We start from the raw sequence: 25,970 nt of genomic DNA on the forward strand, positions 1-25,970 counted from the left end.
CTATGGTAAAATGTGAGCTCTCGAAGGGCAATGTGAGATTTGCTTTGTGGCCCTGCCAATCCCCTCCCTCCTCCCTGTCTTCCTGCCCACCCCCCCCCACTCCCCCGCCAGCCATGAGCAGGGAATATTTCAATGCTATTGCTGAGAGTGGAGGTAACCCTTTCTATAGTTTTCTTTTGTTTCTACCTCATGACTAGATGATTCACTGCTTGAACATGCTCCACACATCCGTTCTTTCTCACTCCAAAATTGAGGTCATCACCAAGCCCCATTAATTTTACCTCCCAGATTCCTCTCGAACCTATCTGTCAAATCTGTCCATCTTCACTGCCACCCTTCAGTACCAAATGACCAGTCTCTTACCTGAATTCCTGTAGCAGCCTCCAAACTGATCTTCCTGATATGATTTTTGCTCTGAAAAAACTGGTTTCACTCACAGAAACCAGAGTGAACTTTTAAAATCCTAAATCGAATCACATCACTTCTCAGCAGCTTTCCATTGCTTTTAGAATGAAGACCCAAATCCTTACCCAGGCCTAAGAGGCCCTTGTGGTTTTGTCCCCTCCCCCTCCATCCTCTTGTGATATCCCCTTCCCTCTCCCTTGCCTCACCTCAGCACTCTTGAGTTCTCTGCTCCTTGGTCATGCCAAGGTTGTGTGCTCTTTAGACCCTTGGTACTAACTGTTCCCTCTGCCCAGAATGTTCCTCGCCCAGTCCTTTGTGTTGCCTCCTATTTGTCAACCAGGTTTCAGCCTAAACCTATCTCCTTAGGAAGACTTTCCCTAACTATCCCATCTAAATTAGTCACCCTCCATCACATTATCCTCTTTTTTCATCAAAGTCCTTACACCTGTCTGGCAATTTCTTATTAATTGATTTGTTTTTGGTAAACTCCACGAAAGGTGGGAGTCATTTCTCTTGTTTCCATTCTTTCCACAGCACTTAGAACAGTGCCTGGCACATGGTAGGTGCTCAATATGTGTTTACTGGATGAATTAATGAGTGCATGCTCATGGGCAAGGATCTCATTGTGCTGGAAAAGCAGCAGAGTGAGACAAAACTGGACAGGTGAGTGAAGGTCACACCAAGAAGGTTCTTAGCTGCCAAACTAAAGGGTTTGGATCTTACTCTCTGGAGAAAAGGGTGTAGCTAGTGGTTTTATAGGAGAGGAGAGGCGCGATCCGCACTTGAGAAGGTCAATTTGGCCGCTGTGTGTAGGTCATATTACGGAGAAAAAAACTAAAGGCTTTGAGACAATCCATGATGTAAAGGGCTTAGCACAGTGCCCAGCACGCAGTAGGTCTCCAGCGAGTCGTTATCACCAAGCACCAGGGCAGGCACCACAACAAAAAGATAAGATCCCTAACCCTTCTTTTACCTCGAAATAATTCCTCCTAGACCCTATCATCGCATTCCTTCTCTTCCCCTTTTGTCAAACTTCCACTCACATGTAGATATTCTCAGGGTTATCATGCCTAGGCCTTTTTAATAGGGCCACTTACCCTAGCATGCTTCTACAACTGGACCCTCAAAGGTCTTTTAGGGCTGAGTGTGGTGGCTCACACCTGTAATGCCAGCATTTTGGGAGGCCGAAGCCAGAGGACTGCTTGAGCCCAGAGGTTCAAGACCAGCCTGGGCACCATAGCCAGACCCTGTCTCTACAAAAAATAGTTTCAACAAATTAGCCAGGCATGGTGATGTGCGCCTGTCATCCCAAGTACTTGGGAGGCTGAGGTGGGAGGATTGCGGATTGCCTGAGCCCAGGAGTTCAAGGCTGCAGTGAGCTGTGATCATACCACCGTACTCCAGATTGCGTGACAGAGCTAGAACTTGTCTCTTAAAAAAAAAAAAAGACTTAATTTCCACATCTGAAGGCCTCTTGTTAGTCTTCTTCTGATTCAACAACTCTTTACTGTTTGATGCCATTTACATATGTTTATTATTTTTTAGAGATGGGGTCTCATTCTTTTGCTGAGGCTGGAGAGCAGTGGTGCGATCATGGCTCACTGCAGCCTCAACCTCCCAGACTCAAGCAATCCTCCTGTCTCAGCCTCCTGAGTAACAGCTAGGACTACAGGCACATGCCACCAAGCCCGGCCTTTTAAAATTTTTGGTAGAGGCCAGGTGTGGTGGCTCATGCTTGTAATCCCAGCACTTTGGGAGGTCCAGGCGAGTGGATCACCTGAGGTCAGGAGTTTGAGACCAGCATGGCTAATATGGTGAAACCCCGTCTCTAGTAAAAGTACAAAAATTAGCCAGGCGTGGTCGTGGGCGCCTGTGATCCCAGCTACTCGGGAGGCTGAGGCAGGAGAATCACTTGAACCTGGGAGGCGGAGGTTGCAGTGAGCTGAGATCGTGTCATTGCACTCCAGCCCAGGTGACAAGAGCGAAACTCCATCTCCAATAATAATAATAATAATAATAATAATAACTTTGCTAGAGACAGGGTTCCCCTATGTTGCCCAGGCTGGTCTTGAACTCCTGACCTCAAGCAACTCTCCCACCTTGGCCTCCCAAAGCGCTGGGATTACAGGTGTGAGCTACTGCACCAGGCCCATATGCCTTTTTAAAAAAATTATCTTTTCCATTGGTGACTATGAGGTTGAGAGATGATTCTCCTACATTTCTGGCTGCTCCTCTTCAAGTACCTTCCCTGGCTCCTCTGGATTTTTTTGTTTTGTTTTGTTTTGTTTTGTTTTGTTTTTGAGACAAAGTCTTGCTTTGTTGCCCAGGCTGGAGTGCAGTGGCAGGATCTTGGCTCACCAGCTCACTGCAACCTCCACCTCCCAGGTTCAAGGGATTCTGGTGCCTCAGCCTCCAGAGTAGCTGGGACTACAGGCCCAGCTAATTTTTGTACTTTTGGTAGAGATGGGGGTTTCACCAGGCTGGTCTTGAACTCCTGCCTCAGGTGATCTGCCCACCTCGGCCTCCCAAAGTGCTGGGATTCTAGGCATGAGCCACCGCGCCTGGCCTGGCTCCTCTTCTTCTTCCACTCAGATATGCCTGACCCTGTCAACACTTTGGTTGAGGTCTTCTTTCTTCTTTCTTTTTTGCTCCGCACATTTAGCTTATGACTTCAACCATCATTTCTCAGAGCATGGGTCTGGCTCAACCTCTCTCCTGAATTTCAGACCTACAAGTCTAGCTACTTGGTGGAGACCTCCCCAGAATGACCTGCTGCTTCCCAAAAGCAGACTCTCCAAATTACAGTCAGTATCTCCCCCGGAAGCATTCCCCCAGGCATTTCTCTTTCTGCCTTCAATTCCCCATTCTCCTACATTGCCTTGCCAGAAGCCTGCTGGTCAGCTTGGATTTCTTTTTGTCCTTTTTTTTCTATATTTTGCTGGTGCCTAGTCATGTAGTTGCTGCCTCTACACTTTCTCTTCTTTAAAAAAAATTATTAAAGCACCACGTGCTTGTTGTAAACATTTCCAGAAAATACAGAAGTGCTCAAAGTGAAAAAATGGAAATGCCTTGTCCCTTCCTCATTCCCTGCCCTAACCTCACGCCCCAGATTCAGCTATGTAATAGTCTGTCATGCCAAGTCTTATTTCCAGCTCCTCTTTTCCATCCCCACTGCCATCATCTGAACTAAACGGATTGTTTTCCATCTGGTCTCCTTGGCTTTTCCTTTCAGTGCAGCTCAACAGACATTAATCAAGTGCCTTCCACACACCAAAGTCCTACCCTAGATCCTAGAGGTTCAGAGACAAGTAAGATAGTTAAAGAGATCCACATTCCAGAGCTGTTTAACTTTGGGCAAGTTACTTAATCTCTCTGACCCTTACTTCCTTATCTGTAAAATGATGCTAATCCCAGCACCTTTTTCATGGGTTTGGACGAGCATTAATGAGATGATCCATGTAAAACTCTTTGTACTAACTACCTGGTACACTGTATCTGCTCCATAAATGTCAGTGACAACAATGATAATAATGACAATGTTTGGAGGAGTTTATAGCTTAATGGAGAGACTTAAAGCATAAGAATTATCTAGGCGAAGAATGATGAGAAAATATTTTTGGAAAAGGAAAACAAACAGTTCTACTAAAATTAAAAGGCTGATGTAGAGACTTGGGAAACTGGGAGGTAAGAGCTCGGACTGTGTCCTCTAAGACAGTAATTCCCGAAGTGTGAGCAAAAGTCCACCTGCATCAGTCTTACTTGGGGTGATTGCTCAAAATGAGGATTTAATGGCTGCACCTCCGAGCAAGTTGGTAATTTACATATCGGAATGCTATCCATCAAGGAAAATGGGCAGACTACAGTTACATGCATCAACACAGACAAGCTTCAAACAATATTGAGTGTAAAAAGCAAGACATAGAAATATATATTTAGTAAGAGTAAAAATACAGTAAAGGTAAAAAAGAGGCAAAACTAAACAATATATTGCTTAAGCAATAAGGATACACAAACTAATGAAAATCAAAGGATTTACTAATACAAACTTCAGTATAGTAATTAATTGGAATGGGAGAGAAAGATGCAAAGTTTCTATTTCTTTTTTTGTTTTGTTTTGAGACAGTGTCTCATTCTGTTGCCAAGGCAGGAGTGCAGTGGCAGGATCTCAGATCACTGCAAGCTCAGCCTCCTGGGTTCAAGTGGTTCTTCTGCCTCAGCCTCCCAAGTAGCTGGGATTACAAGCATGCACCACCACACCCAGCTAATTTTTGTAATTTTAGTAGAGATGGAGTTTCACCATGTTGGCCAGGCTGGTCTCGAACTCCTGGTCTTAAGTAATCCGCCCACCTCTGCCATCAAAGTTTCTGTTTCTTAAGTTGGCTGCCGAGTACACAGGTTTTCTTTGTAAAATAATTATTTAAATTGTTAATATGCATTACTTATATGCTTTTCATTTACAATGTATTTCACAAGAAAAATAAAACAAAGCAAATAAGAAAACAGAACACTTCTCCAGAGATTGATCTTTTTCACTCAAATCTCATTGAGTTATACTGAGGGGGAAAAAGAGTAATCTGAGTGCCTGGGCCCTGAACAGACACACTAGATCAGTTCCTTCATTCCCACTCAAACACATGCACACACACGCACAAACACACATTTTCTTATATTTCCTTCAGCAAACCCCCCGCCCCACCAACCAACCCCAAAACACCCTCTGCTCCTTTATGTATATAAATTAGAGCAGATAAATGTCCAGAAGATTATAGGCCATCTTTCTATAAACAGCCAATCTTGGACCTGGTGTCTGAATGGGGGATGCCCTGCTGCATTAAAGATGCTCATGTGAACATTTTGTTGTTTCCCAGAAAAAAAGTTTCCACATTTTAGATTATTTTCACAGGGTGAGAACAATTTTACACCTCCCTTACTTGCTGCAGAATCTTTTTTTTTTTTTTTTTTTTTTTTTTGAGACAGGTCTTGCTCTATCACTCAAGCTGGAGTGCAGTGGCACGATCTCGGCTCACTGCAACCTCCGCCTCCCAGGTTCAAGCAATTCTTCTGCCTCAGCCTCTCGAGTAGCTGGGATTACAGGTGCGCACCACCATGCCCAGCTAATTTTTTGTATTTTTAGTAGAGATGGGGTTTCACCATGATGGCCAAGCTGGTTTCAAACTCCTGACCACAAGTGATCCGCCCACTTCGGCCTCCCAAAGGGCTAGGATTACAGGTGTGAGCCACCACGCCTGGCTGCTGTGGAATCATTTTTAAAGTGATTGTATCAATTTACAGTGTTCCGAACAGTAAATGGCTACTAGTCTCATCACACCCTCATCTTTAAAAAAGTTTTGCTAATTTAATAGACATGATTCTTACATATTGTCTTAATTTGCATTTCTTTGCTTACCAGTGAGGTTGAACATTTTTTTCTATGTTAGAATCTTTCTTGTATTTCTTCTGTTGTTTTCATTAGAGTAACTCAGAGCAGGATTGGGAATCTGAAAACATGAACATTTGATTTTGAGGAAGTCATTGTTTTCCTGTTGTCTTCCTTCCCCCTCTCTGCTTTATTATTTTTTACTTCAGGTTCATTTATAGAAATATCAGAAAATACAATTAAGCAAACAGAGTAAATTCCACTTCCCAGAGATAACCACTACCGTTTGTTGTATATCCTTTTAAGCTTTTTCTCTGCCAAAAATATTCACAAATATATCGCTTATTCTTTCTGAGCCTGTTTCCTCATCTATCAAATGGAATACTTGTTCTTCAAGTTGATAATTAACTGGTGGGAGCACATGAAAGTATTTTATAAAGTGCACAAATGCAAGTTGCTGCTCTTATGACAAAGAAAAAATGTATTTTATTCTGCCAAGCAGAATGATGACACTTTGTTTCCTGAACACAGCCTGCTCTCTCCAGTACAATTTCTTCTCTCTAGAATAGCTTCTTGCTTCAATTCCTCCTGCTGAACTACTATCTACTCTTTTTTTAAAAAAATCAATATTAAAATATACAAAAATTAGTGTAAAGAGCAACCACGTACCCACTATACAGCTTAGGAAAAGAGTCTGGCATTTCTCACTCCTATGCCTTTATATATACTTGCTTTATTTCCTGTCTCTCTATATATACATACATATATATTTAGTAAGAGCAAAAATACAGTAAAGATCAGGGAAGGTGCGGTGGCTCACGCCTGTAATCCCAGCACTTTGGGAGGCCGAGGCGGGCAGATCACGAGGTCAGGAGTTTGAGATCAGCTTGACCAACATGGTGAAACCATGTCTCTACTAAAAATACAAAAATTAGCCAGGCGTGGTGGCTCATGCGTGTAGTCCCAGCTATTCAGGAGGCTGAAGCAGAAAAATCCCCTGAACCTGGGAGGTGGAGGTTGCCGTGAGCCAAGATTGTGCCACTCACTCCAGCCTGGGCGACAGAGTGAGACTCCATCTCGGGGAAAAAAAAAAATACAGTAAAGGTAAAAAACAGGCAAAACTAAATATATTGCTTAAGCAATAATGATACTCATACAAACTAATGAAAATCAAAGGATTTACTAATACAAATTTATAGTAGTTAATTGGAAGCATATGTATTATATAAATATACATGTATTATACATATATGTATATATGTATATATATAGAAAAAAGCAAATATATGTATATATACATATATATCTATATATGTAAAATTTTTATTTATAAAATGTTTTTGAGCATGAAATGATATATCATTGTGGTGTTAATATGCGTCTTAGCTGGGCATAGTAGGTCACACCTGTAATCCCAACATTTTGGGAGGCTGAGGCAGGAGGATTTCTTGAGCTCAGGAGTTCAAGACCAGCCTGGACAGCATAGTGAGACCCCATCTCTAAAAAAAAAAATAAAAATTATCTGGCGTGGTGGCTGATGTCTGTAGTTCCAGCTACTCAGGAGGCTGAGGTGGGAGGATCACCTGAGCACTGGAGGTCAAGGCTGCAGTGAGCTATGATCATGCCACTGCACTCCAGCCTGGATGACAGAGCCAGATCCTGTTTCAAATAAATAAATTAAATTAAGTTAAAAAGTATCTCCCTGATTAGTGGGGAAGTTACCCAACTTTTTTTTTTTTTTTTTAGACAGAGTCTCAGTCTGTCTCCCAGGCTGGCATGCAGTGGCACGATCTTGTCTCACCGCAACCTCCACCTCCTGGGTTCAAGCAATTCTCCTGCCTCAGTCTCCCGAGTAGCTAGGATTACAGGCATGTGCCACCATACCCGGCTAATTTTTTGTATTTAGTCGAGATGGGGTTTCGCCATGTTGGGCAGACTGGTCTCGAACTCCCGACCTCAGGTGATCCTCCCACCTGGGCCTCCCAAAGTACTGGGATTACAGGCGTGTGCCACCGTGCCCAGCAGTTACACAACTTTTACAAGTTTATTGTTGTTCATGTTGCCTCTTCAGGGAATTTTGTTTATAAAGTACCTATTCTTCAAGGCCCCATTAAAACACCTCCCTCTCCATAAAGTATTTCCAGATCTCCTCTATCAAGCAGATAGGATTTCCTTTGGACTTCTATAATCCTTTCTTTCTACATCTTGGGTTTCACTCACTTCTTATTTCATCTTGCATTACAGTCACTTGTGTACTTGTCTAAAGGGCAGTGACTATGTTTAACTCAACTTTATGCCCTTGTTCATACTAGTACAAAAGTAAACATTTCATAAATCTTTGTTGAATCAAATCCTACTCCTCCCCTGCTTATAAAATCTTAAATCATTTCCTATTGTCTACAGACGAAAGTAGAATCTCGTTTAATGTAGAATTTAAGACCCTTCCACGGGCTCTAGCATCAACCTTCCTTTCTTGCTCTTCTCCTGGGAGGACCTTGCTTTCCGCCCCAGATACTAGATTCTTCATCCACAGTAAGGTCCCAGTCCACTAATGTTTGGCTTTTCTCTCTGTAGCTGGGATGGCAGGTTGGTCCCACCCATTTTAGTTGCCTATAAAATTCTTTTTTTTTTTTTTTTGAGATGGAGTCTTGCTCTGTTGCCCAGGCTGGTATGCAGTGGCATGATCTTGGCTCACTGCAACCTCCGCCTCCTGTATTCAGGCAATTCTCCTGCCTCAGCCTCCCGAGTAGCTGGGATTATAGGCAACTGCCACCATGCCCGGCTAATTTTTGTATTTTTAGAAGAGACGGGGTTTCACCATGTTGGCCAGGCTGGTCTCGAACTCCTGACCTCAGATGATCCGCCCTCCTCGGCCTCCCAAAGTGCTGGGATTACAGGCGTGAGCCACCGCGCCCGGTCTGAGCCACCGCGCCCGGTCTGAGCCACCACACCCGGTCTAATTTTTGTATTTTTAGTAGAGGTGGGGTTTCACCATTTTGGCCAGGCTGGTTTTGAACTCCTGACCTCGTGATCTGCCCGCCTCGGCCTCCCAAAGTGCTGGGATTACAGGCTTGAGCCACTGCGTCCAGCCCAAACTCTTTAAGAGAAAATCTCTTGGGATCTTGAAGCCAGAAGCTTGCTTTTATTACTGAGTTTGCCCTGAATCTGTCACTTATGTACTAAAAATACATAAATTTCCTTATCCAGGTGACTTGGGCTCAACTGAAGGAAACCTGAAGCATCTAAATGTTAGCACCTAAGCCTGAGTCTAGGTGCCAGCATAGCCTGTCTTCCCTCTCCAGAGTCAGAGGCATGTTACAAACAGAATATATGGACACACGTCGAACCCCACATTGTATCTCTCTAATTTATTCAATTTAATTCAGTAAACACTCATTACCTCTTATATCCAGGCCTAGTTGAGGGTGCTGGGGATACAGGTATAAACATGACAGTTCTCTTGAGGAGCACAGAGTGGTTGTGGGAAACAGACATACAGACACACAGTTTCTTTCTTTCTTTTTTCTTTTTTTTTTTTTTTTTGAGACAGAGTCTCACTCTGTCCTTCAGGCCGGAATGCAGTGAGGTGATCTCAGCTCACCACAACCTCCACCTCCTGGGTTCAAGCGATTCTCCTGCCTCTGACTCCCCAGTAGCTGGGATTACAGTAATGCGCCACCACACCCACCTAATTTTTGTATTTTTAGTAGAGACAGGCTTTTGCCATGTTGGCCAGGCTGGTCTCAAACTCCTGAACTCAGGTGATCCGCCTGCCTCGGCCTCCCAAAGTGCTGGGATTACAGGTGTGAGCCACCATGCCCGGCCCAGACACATAGTTTCAATACAAGAAGTATATGTCAGCCAGAGAAGGGCTATCTTGAGAGTCAAGGAAGGCTCCCTGGAGGAGGTATCACTTATGCCAGTTGGTACATGAATGAGTAAATGCAAACAAGCCATGATACTGAAATAAAGCTTTGTTTAATTAACCTTCACATGTAAATTCAGCCACAGAAGACATTCTGATACATGGGGGCATTGCCAGTGATTCCACGAAACTGGATAATGTCATTGATGCTTGTGGTTGAGAGAGCTTGTTTCTGTATTGTAAGGAAGGTGGTACAACCTGGCCTTTCTTTTAAAAAAAAAAAAAAATTCAAACTGGACATGTGTCAATGAACTGACTGGAGTCTTAGGGAGGAACATTGCTCCATAGCTATATGTCTCTCCCGTTTTTTCCTGTGTTAGTCTTTTTTTTTAATTTTTTTAAAATTTTTTTGAGACAGAGTCTTGCTCTGTTGCCCAGGCTGGAGTGCAGTGGTGTGATCTTGGCTCGCTGCAAGCTCCGCCTCCCGGGTTCAAGCAATTCTCCTGCCTCAGCTTCCCAAATAGCTGGGACTACAGATGCATGCCACCATGCCTGGCTAATTTTTGTATTTTTAGTAGAGACAGAATTTCACCATGTTGGCTACACTGGTTTGGACCTCCTGACCTGAGGGGTTCCACCTGCCTCGGCCTCTCAAAGTGCTGAGATTACAGGAGTGAGCCACCTTGTCTAGCTCTTTTTTTTTTTTTCTTTTGAGACAAGTTCTTGCTCTGTCTCCCAGGCTGGAACGCAGTGGTGCAATCACAGCTCCCTGCAGCCTCGACCTCCCCAGCTCAAGTGATCTTCCCACCTCAGCCTCCCCAGTAGCTGGGGCCACAGGCATGCACCACTACGCCCAGCTAATTTTTTTTATTTTTTGTAGAGATGGTGTCTCACCATGTTGCACAGGCTGGTATCCAACTGCTGGGCTCAAGCAATCTTCCTGCCATGGCCTCCCAAAGTGCTAGGATTACAGGCGTGAGCCACTGTGCCCACGTGTTAGTCTTTACATAACTGAATAGTGACTGAAGTCTTGCAGTTTCTACCTTGCCCTGCACTGGCATTATAAGTTGTAGTAGAAATGTCACTCATTGCTTGTAATCTCATGAGAGGCCTAGTTAGATTTTTCTGTACTCTACTTCCAGAGGAGCTTATAGGAAGGTGACTTTCCATAAAGGATGTGAGCTTTCTACCACCCAAATATCAGTCGTAAAGAAAATGAGGAGTGATAAAGAAAGAAGGTATTGAGAGGTGAAGCCAGCTGGGCTTCTAGGTTGGGTGGGGACTTGGAAAACTTTTCTGTCTAGCTAGAGGATTAAAAACGCACCAATCAGCACTCTTTGTCTAGCTAAAGTATTGTAAATGCACCAATCAGCACACTGTAAAAACGCACCAATCAGCACTCTGTGTCTAGCTAAAGGACTGTAAACGCACCAGTCAGCACTCTGTAAAATGGACTAATCAGCAGGATGTGGGTGGGGCCAAATAAGGCAATAAAAGCTGGCCAGCGAAGCCAGCAGCAGGCAACCCACTCGGGTGCCCTTCCATGCTGTGGAAGCTTTGTTCTTTCGCTCTTCACAGTAAATCTTGCTGCTGCTCACTCTGGGTCCGCACTACCTTCATGAGCTGTAACACTCAATGCGAGGGTCTGCGGCTGCATTCCTGAAGTCAGCAAGACCACAAACCCACCGGGAGGAACAAACAACTCCAGATGAGCCACCTTTAAGAGCTGTAACACTCACTGCGAAGGTGTGCGGCTTCACTCCTGAAGTCAGTGAGACCACGAACCCACTGGAAGGAAGAAACTCCGGACACATCTGAACATCTGAAGGAACAAACTCCGGACACACCATCTTTAAGAGCTGTAACGCTCACCGTGAAGGTCCGTGGTTTCATTCTTGAAGTCAGCGAGACCAAGCATCCACCAAAAGGAATAAATTCCAGACGCAGTATTTACAGCCCAGTGTCCACCCATTCCCCATGTAGCAACCCCTGGTACCTGAGGAAAAAGGTCACAGCCTCTGCCAATGGTGGGGCATCTTTCCGAAGAGGTTCCACTTGGACTTTTTGAAACATCATGTGGCTGTGCTGTTTGAGAAGCCTGGGGTGAAATTAACTATACAAGAATCAGGGCATGATCACACACGCACACACCTTTGCAATTTTTCTGGCTTTGTTTACACTGTTACTGCAACTTGTGCCCTTTCTCACCCTTTTCATAGGTCTTCCCTGCAAAGTCTTTTTTTTTTTTTTTTTTTGAGACGGAGTCTCGCTCTGTCGTTCAGGCTGGAGTGCAGTGGCGTGATCTCGGCTCACTGCAACCTCCGCCTCCTGGGTTCACGCCATTCTCCCGCCTCAGCCTCCCGAGTAGCTGGGACTACAGGCACCTGCTACCTGGCGCAGCTAATTTGTGTATTTTTAATAGAGACGGGTTTCACCGTGTTAACGAGGATGGTCTCCATCTCTTGACCTCATGATCTGCCCGCCTCAGCCTCCCAAAGTGTTAGGATTACAGGCCTGAGCCACCGCACCCGACCCATCAACTGTTCTCTTATCTGTGCTCCTAGATCTCTATCTTGATGTCTGAAAGCTTCTTGAGAGTGCTTTGTCAGGTCTATGTCCATCACATTCTTTGGTGGATGTGGCCTCACAAATCTTTCAACTCAGCCCTCTAGGTCCTCATGTGCATTAGTGGAGAATAGCGTTCACATATGTGGGCTTTGGGTCCAATGCAGTTTGAATACTGAGTATGTCACTAACTAGTTGTGTAATTTTTGGAACATTGTTAACCTTTCTGATTTCAGTTTCCTTATCCTTAAATTGAAAATTCTAGTAGTTCCTACCTCATAGGATTGTTGTGAAGGTCAAATGAGATCAAATACTTACAACTGGACCTAAGGGGCACTCATTATGAGTTAGCTGTTGTTACTAGTAACCCATTGTCATCCCTGTAGATGTTTCAGGGGTTTGCCGTGGGGAACCCTGCCATGCAGGCTTGTCTCAGGTTCTGACCCTGTGATGGGGTCTGGTGTTCCCTGCCTCGTTTACCGCTCTTTCCCCATACTTTGGTCTGACTCTCCAATGAGCTCATGATTCCTATGAGCGATTTCTGTCTCTTGATGAATCTTTAGATTTGTCCTTTGTCTTAGGCCTTGAGACTGCAGTAGAACCTTGTGGCCTATTCTAACCCCAGCCCGGAAACCAATGCCCCAACTCCATTCTGGGCTGACTTCCTGGCTTCCTCCCACAACTTCCGGGTCTCTGTTTTTATATATTGTTCCTAGACTAGGATATGGGTGTTCACAAATGTTTGTTGAAAGGTTTTCAGAGGCAATTAGGCATATTTAAGAAGTGAATGAACACCTGCTCATTGATATGCTGTCCATAAACTAGGACACGGTGTTGAATGATGATTTGACAGAGATTTTAGAATCAGAGAGATGGAAGCTTGATCCTAACTCTGAATCTTATGGCCTTAAGCAAAATATCTAACCTCTTTGTGCCTGTTTTCTCATTTGTAAAATGAGGATAATTATATTTCCTCATAGGGTTATTGTGAAGATTAAATGAGACAATATAAATAAAGCACCTAGCATTTTCTGGAACATGGTAAGCAGTTGGTAAATAGCTGCAACTACCAACAGGTAGTTCAAAACTTTTCCTCCATCTGAAAAACCAAGAGTTGAAGAAATGGCTGAAGTTGGAATATCTGGCAGGAGCTGTGCTTAAACACAAGATCCGGAATATCTGAATATCTTTAGGACAAGATGAAATAGGTTTCTCTCAAATGAGTTGGTTAAGGAGTTAAGCAGTGATAGGTAACACTTGAAGTTTCACAAAGATGAAAACTGGTACTTGACAGACAGCCACTTGATGGTATTCTGAAGTTTACTGACCCTTTGTTCTATTTCTAGAACAAGGTGTTCTATCTCTTTGCCCAAGGTGTTCAAAGTATAGAGAAACAAAGAAGATCAGTAATTACATAGACCAAATGGAGTATCGGATTTATTACGAACTACATCTGCTCAAAAGACTCATGAACTATATGGAGTTAGTCCTATCAGAGAGAAGCAGGGTATCCAGCTAGCTCATAGGCCTTTTTATACAAAAGTTTACCATTAGCATGTTTGGTAACATTACTTATAAGCCACCCCAACCCCCTCCCCACACACTCAAGTTTCCTTAAGTGTATGTATTAGTTTTCTATTGAAGTACAGGCAAGCTTGACTGGGTTCTTTGCTCAGAGTCTTACAAGGTCAAGATTAAAATATCCACTAGATTAAGGACTTATCTTGAGACTGTGAGGAGAATCTGCTTCCAAGCTCATTTAGGCTATAGGTAGAATCAAGTTCCTTGCAGTTATAGGTCTGAGGTCCCTGTTTCCTTGCTGACTATCAGTCAGGGGCCACTCTTAGCTTCTCGAGGCTGCTCTCAAGTCCTTTCCATGTGGACCCCTCCATATTCAATACCAGCAATGGCCCATTGAACCATCCCATGCTTTGAGTCTCTGACTTCTTTTGCCAGCTAAAGGAATCTCTCTACTTATAAATGGCTCATGTGATGACCAGGATAATTTCCCCATCTTAAGATCAACTGTTTAGTGCCTTAATTGCATCTGCAAAATCCCTTCAAAATAGTGCCTAGATTAGTGTTTGATTGAATAGCCAAGGATTGGGAATCTTGGGCAGTCATCTCAGAATTCTGCCTACACAGCATGGTTACAATTTCCTGAAAAGCTATCCTGTGAGGCCTGACAGTTATAGTACAAGCATTGGATAAACATTCCCATTTCAGAATGGAGAAATCAGCCAACAAGAAAGGTGCTACAGGCCCCATGCAAGTTTGAAAGCTGGAAGGGCAGTCATTAGATCTTAAAGCTCTAACATAATCTTTGACTCCATGTCCCATATGCTGGGCATACCGGTGCAGTGGGTGGGCTCCCAAGGCATGGAGCAGCTCTGTCCCTGTGGCTTTGCAGGATTCATCACCCATGACTGCTCTCATGGGCTCGAGTTGAGTGCCTGTGGCTTTGCCAGGCACAGGGTGCAAGCTGCTGTTGGATCTACCATTCTTGGATCTGGAGGATGGTGGCCCTCTTCTCACAGCTCCACTAGGCAGTGTGCCCCATTGGGAACTCTGTGTGGGGAATGTGTATTAATCTGTTCTCACACTGCTAATAAAGACATACCCGAGACTGGGTAATTTATAAAGGAAAGGGGTTTAATTGACTCACAGTTCCACCGTGGGGTGGGGCTCACAACCATGGCAGAAGGCAAATGAGGGGCAAAGTCAAATCTTATATGGCAGCAGACAAGAGAGCTTGTGCAGTGCAACTCCCATTTATAAAACCATCAGATCTCAGGGAACTTATTCACTACCACTAGAATAGTATGAGGGAAACCACTGCCACGATTTAATTATCTCCACCTGGCCCCACCTTTGACACGTGGAGATTGTTACAAATCAAGGTGAGATTTGTGTGGGGACACAGCCAAACCATATCAGTGTGCCAACCTTACAATTCCCCTTGGCATTGACCTAGTAGAGGTTCTCTGTGAAGGCTCCACCCCTGCAGCAGTCTTCTGCCTGGACACCCAGACTTGTCCATACATCCTCTGAAATCAAGGTGGAGGGTGGCAAACCTCAAGTCTTGTGCTCTGTACACCGCAGGCTTAACACTACATGGAAGCCACCAAGGCTTTTGGCTTCCACCATCTGGAACTGCAGCCCAAGCTGTACTTGGGCCCCTTTGAGCTGTGGGTAGAGGTGGAGCAGCCTGGATGTGGGAAGCAGTGTCCCAAGGCTGTGCAGGGCAGCAGGGCCCTGGGCTTGGTCCAGGAAACCATTCTTCCCTCCTAGGCCACTGGGCATATAATGGGAGAGGCTGCCATGAAGGTCTCTAAAATGCCTTTGAGGTCTTTTTCCCATTGTCTTTGGAATTAGTTCTTGGGTCCTTTTTAGTCAAGCAAATTTGTCTAGCAAATGGTGGCTCTCCACAGCCTGCTTGAATTCCTCTCCTGAAAAAGCTTTTTCTTTCTTTGCCACATAGCCAGGCTGCAAATTTTTCAAACTTTTATGCTGTGCTTCCTGTTTAAATATAAATTCCAACTTTAAGTCATTTCTTTGCTCCCACATTTAAGTTAGGCTGTCAGAAGCAGCCATGCCACAACTTCAATGCTTTGCTGCTGAGAAATTTCTTCTGCTGGCCAGGTGTGGTGGCTTATGCCTGTAATCCCAGCACTTTGGGAGGCTGAGGTGGGCGGATCACCTGAGGTCAGGAGTTCGAGACCAGCCTGGTCAACATGGTGAAATCTCATCTCTATTAAAAATACAAAAATTAGCTGGGCATGGTGGTGGGTGCCTGTAATCCCTGCTACTCAGGAGGCTGAGGCATGAGAATTGCTTGAACCCGGGAGGCAGAGGTTGCAGTGAGCCAAGATGCACCACTGCACTCCAGCCTGGGTGACAGAGCGAGACTCAGTCTCAAAAAAAAAAAAAAAAAATTCTTCTGTCAGACACTTAGATCATCACCCTTTAGTTAAAAGTTCCACAGATCCCTAGGGCGTGGACAGAACACAGCCAAGCTCTTTGCTAAGACACAACAAATGTGACCTTTGTTTTAGTTCTCAAGAAGTTTCTCACTTCCATCTGAGACCTTGTCAGCCTGGCCTTCATTGTCCATATCACTATCAGCATTTTGGTTGAAACTATTTAACCAGTCTCTAAGAAGTTCCAAACTTTCCCTCACCTTCCTATCTTCTTCTGAGCCCTCCAAACTCTTCCAACCTATACTTGTTACCCAGTTGCAAAGTCGGTTCCACATTTTCAGGTATCTTTATGGCAGTGCCCTACTCCTTGGTACCAATTTTCTGTGTTGGTCCATTTTTGCATTGCTAGAAAGAAATACCTGAGACTGGGTAATTCCTTTTCCTTTTTCTGAGACAGAGTCTTGCTCTGTTACCCAGGCTGGAGTGCAGTGGTGCAATCTTGGCTCACTGCAACTTCCACTTCCTGGGTTCAAGTGATCCTCCTGCCTCAGCCTCCGGAGTAGCTGGGATTATAGGCACACACCATCACACCTTGCTATTTTTTTTTCTTTTTTTAGTAGAGATGGGGTTTCATTGTGTTGATCAGGCTGGTCTTGAACTCCTGACCTCAAGTGATCCACCCACCTCTGCCTCCCAAAGTGCTGGGATTATAGGTGTGAGCCACTGTGCCTGGCTGAGACTGGGTAATTTATAAGAAAAGAAATTTAATTGGCTCACGGTTCTGAAGACTGTACAGGAAGCATAGTGGCATCTGCTTCTGGGGAGGCCTCAGGAAGCTTCCAATCATGGTGGAAGGTGAATGGGGAGGAGGCGCATCACATGGTGAAATCAAGAGTGAGAGACAGAGTGCCACACACTCTTAAATGACCAGATCTCATGAAAACTCACTCCCTATCACAAGAACAGCAGCAAGGGAATGGTGCTAAACCATTCAAGAGAAAACCGCCCCCATGATCCAATCACCTCCCACCAGGCCCCATCTCCAACACTGGGGATTATAGTTCAACATGAGATTTGGATGGGGACCAATATCCAAACTATGTCAACAATTGTGTTACTTCTCCATCTACTTTTCTCCTGGTAGCTGGCTAGTTTCTCTTAACACTGATTGTAAGACCTATCCTGATTTCAGAGGCATTTAAATATAAAAAAAATTGGGACTTATTTCTTGAAAATGTTGTACTTACTAGACAGTAAGACTTATTTCTGAAGATACCTGGTTTCTAAAAGTACTACTGGGAAATATAATAAATGAGGAAGTGATTAATTTTGCCTGGGGAGTAGGTGACATTTGAATTGGGTCTGGGAGGTTCAGTAGGAGTTTCCCAGGCAGATAATAGGCTAAAAGGTATTCCAAGCAAGGGAAACTTCTATTATGGTGCTTATCTCAAGATATCCTGTTAATATTGCTTGACTCCTCCTGGCTTGTAAATTCTTTGTGGTCATTAACCAATTTTGACTCCCAAAATGACCATTTACCTCATTATTTTGCCGTTTATTCATTTCATATTTACTAATTTTATTCATATTTATATTTGCTGACAAAATAGTATTTCCAGCAGCTCATTTTAAATACAGACAAGCAAGCAAGCAAACCCCACACAAATCCAGTGTAATAGCACTGCCTGGAGAAGCCACTGTTAATATATTGGTGTATATACTTCAAGGCTTTATCTATTCATATGCACATATCCATCAATGTATCTATCTATCTAGCTACATTTAAAACAAAATGGTATCATATTTATTAGTCATAATTTGATATATTAACTTAACCACAATATTAAAATATTGTACTGCCAGCCTGTACATTTTTTGCCTGCCCAGCCTCCCACTGAAGGAAATTATGCCCAGCTCATAGTTCTCTATGCTTAATTATCTGTATCTCCTGATCATAGTTGATTGAAGTAAAGGATCAGCATCCAATCTAAGGGCAGCCTGCCTGTGGGTGGTCAGAGATTTACCCACAGGGTGGAAAGCTGAGCTGGGTCAATCATATGCCACTCTATGGGTTATGGAGTTAGGCAATTGAGATGATCCTCAATGGAGCTGATGATGTAAGGATACCATGACCTTCAGTCAAAGCCATGGCAAGGCAAGCAGAAACAAGAGTTGTGAGGGAACAGAAAAAATTAAATGGAGTAAGCTGGTTAGCAAAGAGTGGAGAGTAGAGCCAGCCTGTGGAAAAGCAGAGATGCCCAGAGAATGAAACCATGACTTCAAGCTTTCATTAGTCCTGTTTTTTTTTGTTTAGTGTAGTTTTGTTTTTGGTGCAGTTCCAGTCCATATAGGTCTGTATAAGAAAGGCCTCCCTTCCAGCCTTTTTTCCTCTAGAAGTAAAACTGTGCATGTCTGTTTCCTGTAGCCAGTCAAGCCTGACCAGACCACAGATCATCACTGTTCATGGCTATATGGCATTCTATTGTGTATAGCTGCCATCACTGATTTAAACACCTACTGATGGACATTTGAGTAATTTCCAAGGAGCATCTTCATGGATAACTTTTGCACATTTAATAAAAGCACGATATCCTTATGATACATTCCAAGAAGTGAAGTTTTTTGGTTGAAGAATAGATGCATAATGATAAGCTGGTCTTTAGAAAGACTATATTAATTTATTGCCTACTAACATTGCATAAGAGTGGTTGCTTTTTCACCCCCTTGCCAATAATATCAATTAAAAAGACAAACCAAAATGTTGCTACATATGATAGGCAAGAAGTGATATGTGGCATGTTATCTTTTCTATTTTTTTTTTTTTTGGTGATGGGTCTCACTCTGTCTACCTGGGCAGGAGCACAGTGGCGGGATCACAGCTCACTGCAGCCTCAACTCCCAGGCTCAAGCGATCCTCCCACCTCAGCCTTTTGGGTAGCATGCCACCACGCTGGGCTAATTTTTTGTATTTTCTGTAGAGACGGGGTTTTTCATTTTGCCCAGGCTGGTCTTGAACTCCTGGCCTCAAGCAATCCTCTCTCCTCTGCTTCCCAAAGTGCTGGGGGGTATAGGTGTGAGCCGTTGTGCCTGGCCAGCATGTTATTATCTTAATGTCTATTTCTCTGAATCTTGAGTTTATTGACTAGGAATTGGGCTTTGTCATTAGACAGGCCTGGGTTTGAGTTCCAGCTCTGCCTCTTGCTGTGTGGCTTCAGGTAAGTAACCCAGTTCTCCATTTTCCCAAGTGTAAAATGGACATAATGGGATTATTACAAGGATCAGCTGAGAAAATAAATGTGCAACACTTAGTATAGTAAGGTACCAGTGCAGTTGGTAACTTAACATCTCTGTGGCTTTCACCTCAGACAAACTTTGTAATTAAGTAAAGAAAGCCTTTATGGAATGAACAATTGGATTAATATGTTGGAGTTAAGAAGAAATATTTCGGCTGGGCATGGTGGCTCATGCCTATAACCCCAGCACATTGGGAGGCCAAGGTGGGCAGATCACTTGAGGTCAAGAGTTCGAGACCAGCCTGGCCAACATGGCAAAACCTCACCTCCAGTAAAAATACAAAAATTAGCCGGGTGTGGTCGTGTGCGCCTGTAAGCCCAGCTACTCAGGAGGCTGAGGCAGGATAATCACTTGAACTTGGGAGGCTGAGGTTGCAGTGAGCCGAAATCACGCCACTGCACTCCAGCCTGGGTGACAGAGTGAAACTCTGTCTCAAAAAAAAAAAAAAAAAAAGAAGAAGAAGAAGAAATATTTCACATTTTATGTATTCGCAATGTTTAAGAAAATTTGGCCGACTTGAATGACAGCTTTTTTGTAAATCATTTTAAATGTGTAATTGAGTTAGTTTTAGACTTAGGTTTTTGAGTTGAAAGCTTACTAAGTTTACACATGGAATCAGGCCATCTAAGAGAATGTTAGCTTTGTTATGCTTGTATGTTTATTTATAGGAATTACTAAGTTTTGAAAAAGTTTTAAACAATTGAATGAATTAAAAAGAAAATCTAGGCCGGGCACAGTGGTTCACGCCTGTAATCCAAGCAGTTTGGGAGGCAGAGGTGGGTGGATCACCTGAGGTCAGGAGTTCAAGACCAGCCTGGGCAACATGGTGAAATCCCGTCTCTACTAAAAATACAAAAATTAGCTGGGCGCGGTGGTGCGTGCCTGTAATCCCAGCTACTCAGGAGGCTGAGGCAGGAGAATCGCTTGAGCCCAGGAGGCAGAGGTTGCAATGAGCCAAGATTGTGCCATTACACTCCAGCCTGTGCGACAGAGTGAGACTCCGTCTCAAAAAAAAAAAAAAGTTTTGAAAAAGTTTTATACGATTGAATGAACTAAAAAGAAAATCTAGGCCAGGTGCGGTGGCTCATGCCTGTAATCTTAGCACTTTGGGAGGCCGAGGCCAGTGGATCACAAGGTCAGGAGTTTGAGACCAGCCTGGCCAATATAGTGAAACCCCATCTCTAATAAAAAAATATATATATATATAAAATTAGCCAGGTGTGGTGGCGGGTGCCTGTAATTCCAGCCACTTGGGAGGCTGAGGCAGAAGAATCCCTTGAACCCGGGAGGCGGAGGTTGCAGTGAGCTGAGATTGCACCATTGCACTCCAGCCTGGGTGACAAGAGTGAAACTCCATCTCAAAAGAAAAAAAAAAAGAAAATGTAATAGGAAATCTAATATAGACAATATAATAGGCACAATTTATTCTTTATTATTATTTTTTATTTTTATTTATTTATTTTTTTGAGATGGAGTCTCGCTCTATTGCCTAGGCTAGAGTGCAGAGGCATGATCTTGGCTCACTGCAAGCTCCGCCTCCAGGGTTCACGCCATTCTCCTGCCTCAGCCTCCCGAGTAGCTGGAATACAGGTGCCCGCCACCATGCCCGGCTAATTTTTTTTTTTTTTGTGTTTTTAATAGAGCTGGGGTTTCACCGTGTTAGCCTGGATGGTCTCAATATCCTGACCTCGTGATTCGCCCACCTCGGCCTCCGAAAGTGCTAGGATTACAGGCGTGAGCCACCGTGCCCGGCAATTATTATTATTTTTTAAAAGACAGTCTCGCTCCGTCAACCAGGCTGGATTGCAGGAGCACAATCTCGGCTCACTGCAACCTCTGCCTCCTGGGTTCAAGTGATTCTCCTGCCTTAGCCTCCCGAGTAGCTGGGACTACAGGCGTGTGTCACCATACTAAGCTAATTTTTTTGTATTTTAGTAGAGACGGGGGTTTCACCATGTTGGCCAGGCTGCTCTCGAACTCCTGACCTAAGGTGATCCACCCACCTTGACCTCCCAAAGTGCTCGGATTACAGGTGTGAGCCACTGTGCCTGCCCTAGTAGGCATAATTTTAAATATTTGAAGATGTTGAATTAACTGAGTGAGACTTAAAAAAAAATTTTCAGGAAATTTCAGAATGCTCTATGTCCTCGTTGCCATTGCGGCTGCCTTTCTCAAGAATGCCTGGCCTAAGGAGCGGGTGCTGGTCCTGTTCCTCACCATCGGGGGCCTAGCTATAAATCTGACCCCAGTCTGCCCCTATACCATGTACTCCACCAGGATCAACTAGGCCACGCCCCACAACAACCCAGTGCCCCTCCGAGATGATGGGAACATGCTGGACATGCCCAGCCACCCCCAAGGCCCAAGCATGGAGTGGTTGAAGAAACTGCAAGCACTTCCATTGACATGGAGAAGACCATGTCCCCTGTGGCCCCCAATAAAAATGTGACCCCCCCGCCTCCGAAATAAATAAATCATTCAGTTTCTGAAAAGTGTTTGGTAAAATGTGCTAGACTTATAAATAGAATAATACAATTTGTAAAGTGAACTTAAAAGCTTAAGAATGAAATAACTTTTTACTTTGTAGGCTTAATAAATGAAACCCTTGCCCACTTTTCTACAGGGGTGTTTTGTTCTTACAGGTTTTCAAGTATCTTTAATAGTCTGAAGGAAGAGTGAATACATTGAAAATAGCTGGAGCAAAACATCTGGAGTCAGGCTATGATTTGGCATGCTAAATCATGCTGAACTTGGCCCATTATCTTGAAGGGAGGAATAGAAAAAAAAATTTAAAAAGAGAAACACAATTGCATTTGCACTTTAGAGAGAACACCCTGATAACTGTGAGGATCTAGTTGGCAGAAGGGCGACTACAGTGTAATCACAACAGGGATGGAGACAAAAGTAGACATCTCAGAAATAAACACAGATTGGATGTAGGGTGCGAGGCAAGGAGCCTGGGGTGTTCCCACTGGGAATTGAGTACTTCTGTGAATAGAGAATATAGCAGGAGCAGGGTCAGTATTTGACACGTGGGATTTGAAGTGTCTGCCCTATACACAGGTGAAAGTGTTCATTAGCTGAAAATACTGAGGGACTTCCAGACGATCTGGTCTGGTGATACATATCGAGGGGTCCTCAGCAGTTATAGGCGAGTGTAGAAAAGATTACTGAGTAGGCAAAGAATAAACGGAAGAGGGCCGGGCGCGGTGGCTCACACCTGTAATCTCAGCACTTTGGGAAGCAGAAGCGGGTGGATTACCTGAGGTCAGGAGTTCGAGACCAGCCTGATCAACATGGTGAAACCCTGCCTCTACTAAAAATACAAAAAAAGTAGTTGGGCGTGGTGGCGGGCACCTATAATCCCAGCTACTTGGGAGGCTGAGGCGGGAGAGTCGCTTGAACCCGGGAGGCGGAGGTTGCAGTGAGCCGAGATCGCGCCACTGCACTCCAGCCTGAACGACTGAGCAAAACTCCGTCTCAAAAAAAAAAAAAAAAAAAAAATGCCGGGCGCGGTGGCTCACGCCTGTAATCCCAGCACTGTGGGAGGCCGAGGCGGGTGGATCACGAGGTCAGGAGATCGAGACCATCCTGGCTAACACGGTGAAACCCCGTCTCTACTAAAAATACAAAAACTTAGCCGGGCGCGGTGGCGGGTGCCTGTAGACTCAGCTACTCGGGAGGCTGAGGCAGGAGAATGGCGCGAACCCGGGAGGCGGAGCTTGCAGTGAGCCCGGATCGCGCCACTGCACTCCAGCCTGGGCGACAGAGCGAGACTCCGTCTCAAAAAAAAAAGAAAATAAAAAAAAAGAAAGAAAGAAAAGAAAAAAGAATAAACAGAAGAGGGCTGCGGACAGAATACCGTTGAATACCAATATCTGAAGGGCAAGCCACAAGGTGCAGGGGGCAGAGGCATCCCTGATACGGGAAAAGAGTTATTTTAAAAAGAACTTGCAAAGAACAATGTCAAGGGATCCAAAGGTAGGGAATTTGGACAGAGTTCGGCTTTAGCATCCGCATCTCAAATACCTGGGTACCTGGGTAATCTGGTGACTGCTGCCGAATCTAAGAGGACTGAGGCCAGGTTGCCAAACTGCGGAGAGTGGGGTTGGAGGGCTTTCATGGCAGTTTGGGGCCTGCTTGTGTCCAACAAGACAACCTGGGTCACCTCAAAGGGTGTCTTCTCCAAATATTGGTGCAGAGGTTAGCTGGGCCGGCAAGAGAAGGGAGATGACCCACTATTTTGATTTCAGGCAGCAGACACCGGCAGCCTTTCGGTTAGAGTTGCGGATAGGGCAGTGGCCTTGGGGGCGGGGCTATAAACCTGGGCGGGCATTCCCGGCAGGGCAAGCTCAGCGTGAGCCCGATTGGAGGATGGGCTCTACCTTCTTCCTTCCGCCTACGGAGACCATAGCGGGATGCAGGGCGGGGCCGGGCTGAGGGGGCGGAGTTAGGGGCGGGGCACGGTGACTCTGGCCCCGCCTCTTTCCGGCCGCTCAGGGCGGTGTCGCTGGGGCGGTGCCGCTGGGGCGGGGCCTGCGGGGTGGGGCTGACGGCACGGGGCGGGGCCTCGGGGACCCCGGCAAGCCCGCGCACTTGGCAGGAGCTGTAGCTACCGCCGTCCGCGCCTCCAAGGTTTCACGGCTTCCTCAGCAGAGACTCGGGCTCGTCCGCCATGTCCGCCGCAGACGAGGTTGACGGGCTGGGCGTGGCCCGGCCGCACTATGGCTGTGAGTGCGGGGCTCCGCGGCGCGGGGGCTTCGGGCTGGGCTAATTGCAGACGAGGCGCGATTTTCCTGGGGGCTCGGCCGGGCGGGTGGGGCAGGGCGGCTGCCGGCAGCTCGGACCCGGAAGAGCCGTCCCGGTGGGGCGGCGGGCGGCGGGCGGGGAGGCCCCTGGTTCGCGCCCCCTCGGGGTCCGAGGCGGCGGAGAGGACCCCCGAGGCCTCCCGCCTTAGCTGGGGCCGCGGTAGGGGGAGCCCCACCCAGCGCCTCTCGCCGCCCAGGCTCGGCCGAGATTGGGGAAGACGGCCTAGAGTGAGGTGGCAGGATGACCGCGCAGGGCGTGTCCCGGGGATTGGGGGTCTGGGTACGCGGGCTCTGCCCGTTTCGTGGAAAGGCGCTGCCCTAGTGTTGCCTGCGGGGTAGACCCAAGGGATAGACCAGGGTCCAGACCTGTCCGGTCCCAGGCTAGCTACGAGGTGCCGTCCTGGGCAAGTCACTTCAGTTTTCTCGGGCTTAGTTCCCTCCTCAAGATTTCAAAAGTAAAATAGTAATAAAGAAAAAAAAAAGAAGCAGAAAATCCTCTGACTTCCTCATTTTCTGTTGTCGGCCCTGGACGTCATTGAACTGCAGGCAGGATTGGCTAAAGGAGGACCCTTTGGGATTTTGAGGTTTTCGGTTTTATTTTATATTGTGGGAATAATGTTCTTTTTTAAAGGATCAACATTTCACGCATCAACAGTTATACGTGAGGTATTGTGCCACGTTTGTGAAATTAAAGATGAGTAAGATCAGGCCCTGTCTCCAAAGAGCGTTTTAATCAGAGAGTCAGGTGTGCAAGCTAATGATTATAAGGTGCAATAATGATAAAAGATGCTGAACTTACTAGCCATACAGAGTAATGTAGGTAAGGAGAAGGGGCCTGGGGAAGACAGTATGAGCACGGGAGGTGACTTTTTTTTTTTTTTTTTTGGAGACAGGGGGTCTTGCTCTGGTCGCCCAGCCTGGAGTTCAGTGGTGCAATCTCAGCTCACTGCAAACTCCACCTCCCAGGTTCAAGCGATTCTCCTGCAGTCTCCCGAGTACAGGCGTCGGCCACCACACTGGCTAATTTTTGTATTTTTAGTAGAGACAGGGTTTCACTGTGTTGGTCAGGCTGGTCTCAAACTCCTGATCTCAAATGATCCCCACGCCTCGACCTCCCAAAGTGTGAGCCACTGCACCTGGCCTGAAGGTGACATTTGAACAGAGCCTTGAAGAATGCTGTGTAGAAAGTTTGACAGGTGGCCAGGCATAGTGACTCCTGCGTGTAATCCCAGCACTTTGGGAGTCCGAGGTGAGAGGATAGTTTGAGGCCTTGAGTTTGAGACCAGCCTGGGCAGCACAGTGAGACTCCATCTCTTAAAAAAAAAAAAAAAAATTAGCCAGGCGTGGTGGCCCATGCCTGTGGTCCCAGCTGCTTGGGGCTGAGGTAGGAGGATCATTTGAGCCCAGAAAGTCGAGGCTGCAGTAAGCCATGATTGTGCCACTGCACTCGAGCCGGAGTGACAGAACAAGACCCTGTCTCAAAAAAAAAAAAAAAAAAGTTTGATAGGGCATGTGGAACAAGAGACAGGACCTGAGGGAAGAGCATAAACAAAGGTATTGAAAGTAGAGGGATACTGTGTTGGGAACTGAGTGATGTAGACTGCACAGTGGTGGGAGGAAGGGAAGAGGAGAGTTTCCAAAAATAGTTGGGACCAGACTGGGAAAGGCCTTGAATGCCTTCCCAAGGAGTTAGGAATTTATTCCACACCTGGTGCCCATGAAGGAAGCAGATTGCT

At 45.4% G+C, this 25,970-nt stretch overlaps 1 protein-coding gene and 1 pseudogene across 2 annotated transcripts in view, besides 1 other annotated feature; both read left to right on the plus strand.

Moving 5' to 3' along the window:
* On the plus strand, nt 21,574-21,823 carry NDUFA3P4 (NADH:ubiquinone oxidoreductase subunit A3 pseudogene 4; annotated as a pseudogene).
* Nucleotides 23,726-24,505: a silencer, noted in NCBI's record as "silent region_6819". NCBI's record gives its function as "represses an Ori minimal core promoter by ATAC-STARR-seq in GM12878 lymphoblastoid cells {active_cell/tissue: GM12878}" and the evidence as "EXISTENCE:reporter gene assay evidence [ECO:0000049][PMID:35858748]".
* IQGAP1 (IQ motif containing GTPase activating protein 1) overlaps nt 24,002-25,970 on the plus strand; it is a 113,998-nt gene continuing 112,029 nt past the window's right edge. For both annotated transcript variants that reach the window (NM_003870.4, XM_047433204.1), the window contains exon 1: nt 24,002-24,156. In NM_003870.4, coding sequence (NP_003861.1) covers nt 24,102-24,156 — 55 coding nt within the window. In that variant the 5' untranslated portion in view covers nt 24,002-24,101. The remainder of the gene's footprint in view (nt 24,157-25,970) is intronic.

Source organism: Homo sapiens, chromosome 15, assembly GCF_000001405.40.
Source record: "Homo sapiens chromosome 15, GRCh38.p14 Primary Assembly".
Lineage (NCBI taxonomy): Eukaryota > Metazoa > Chordata > Mammalia > Primates > Hominidae > Homo > Homo sapiens.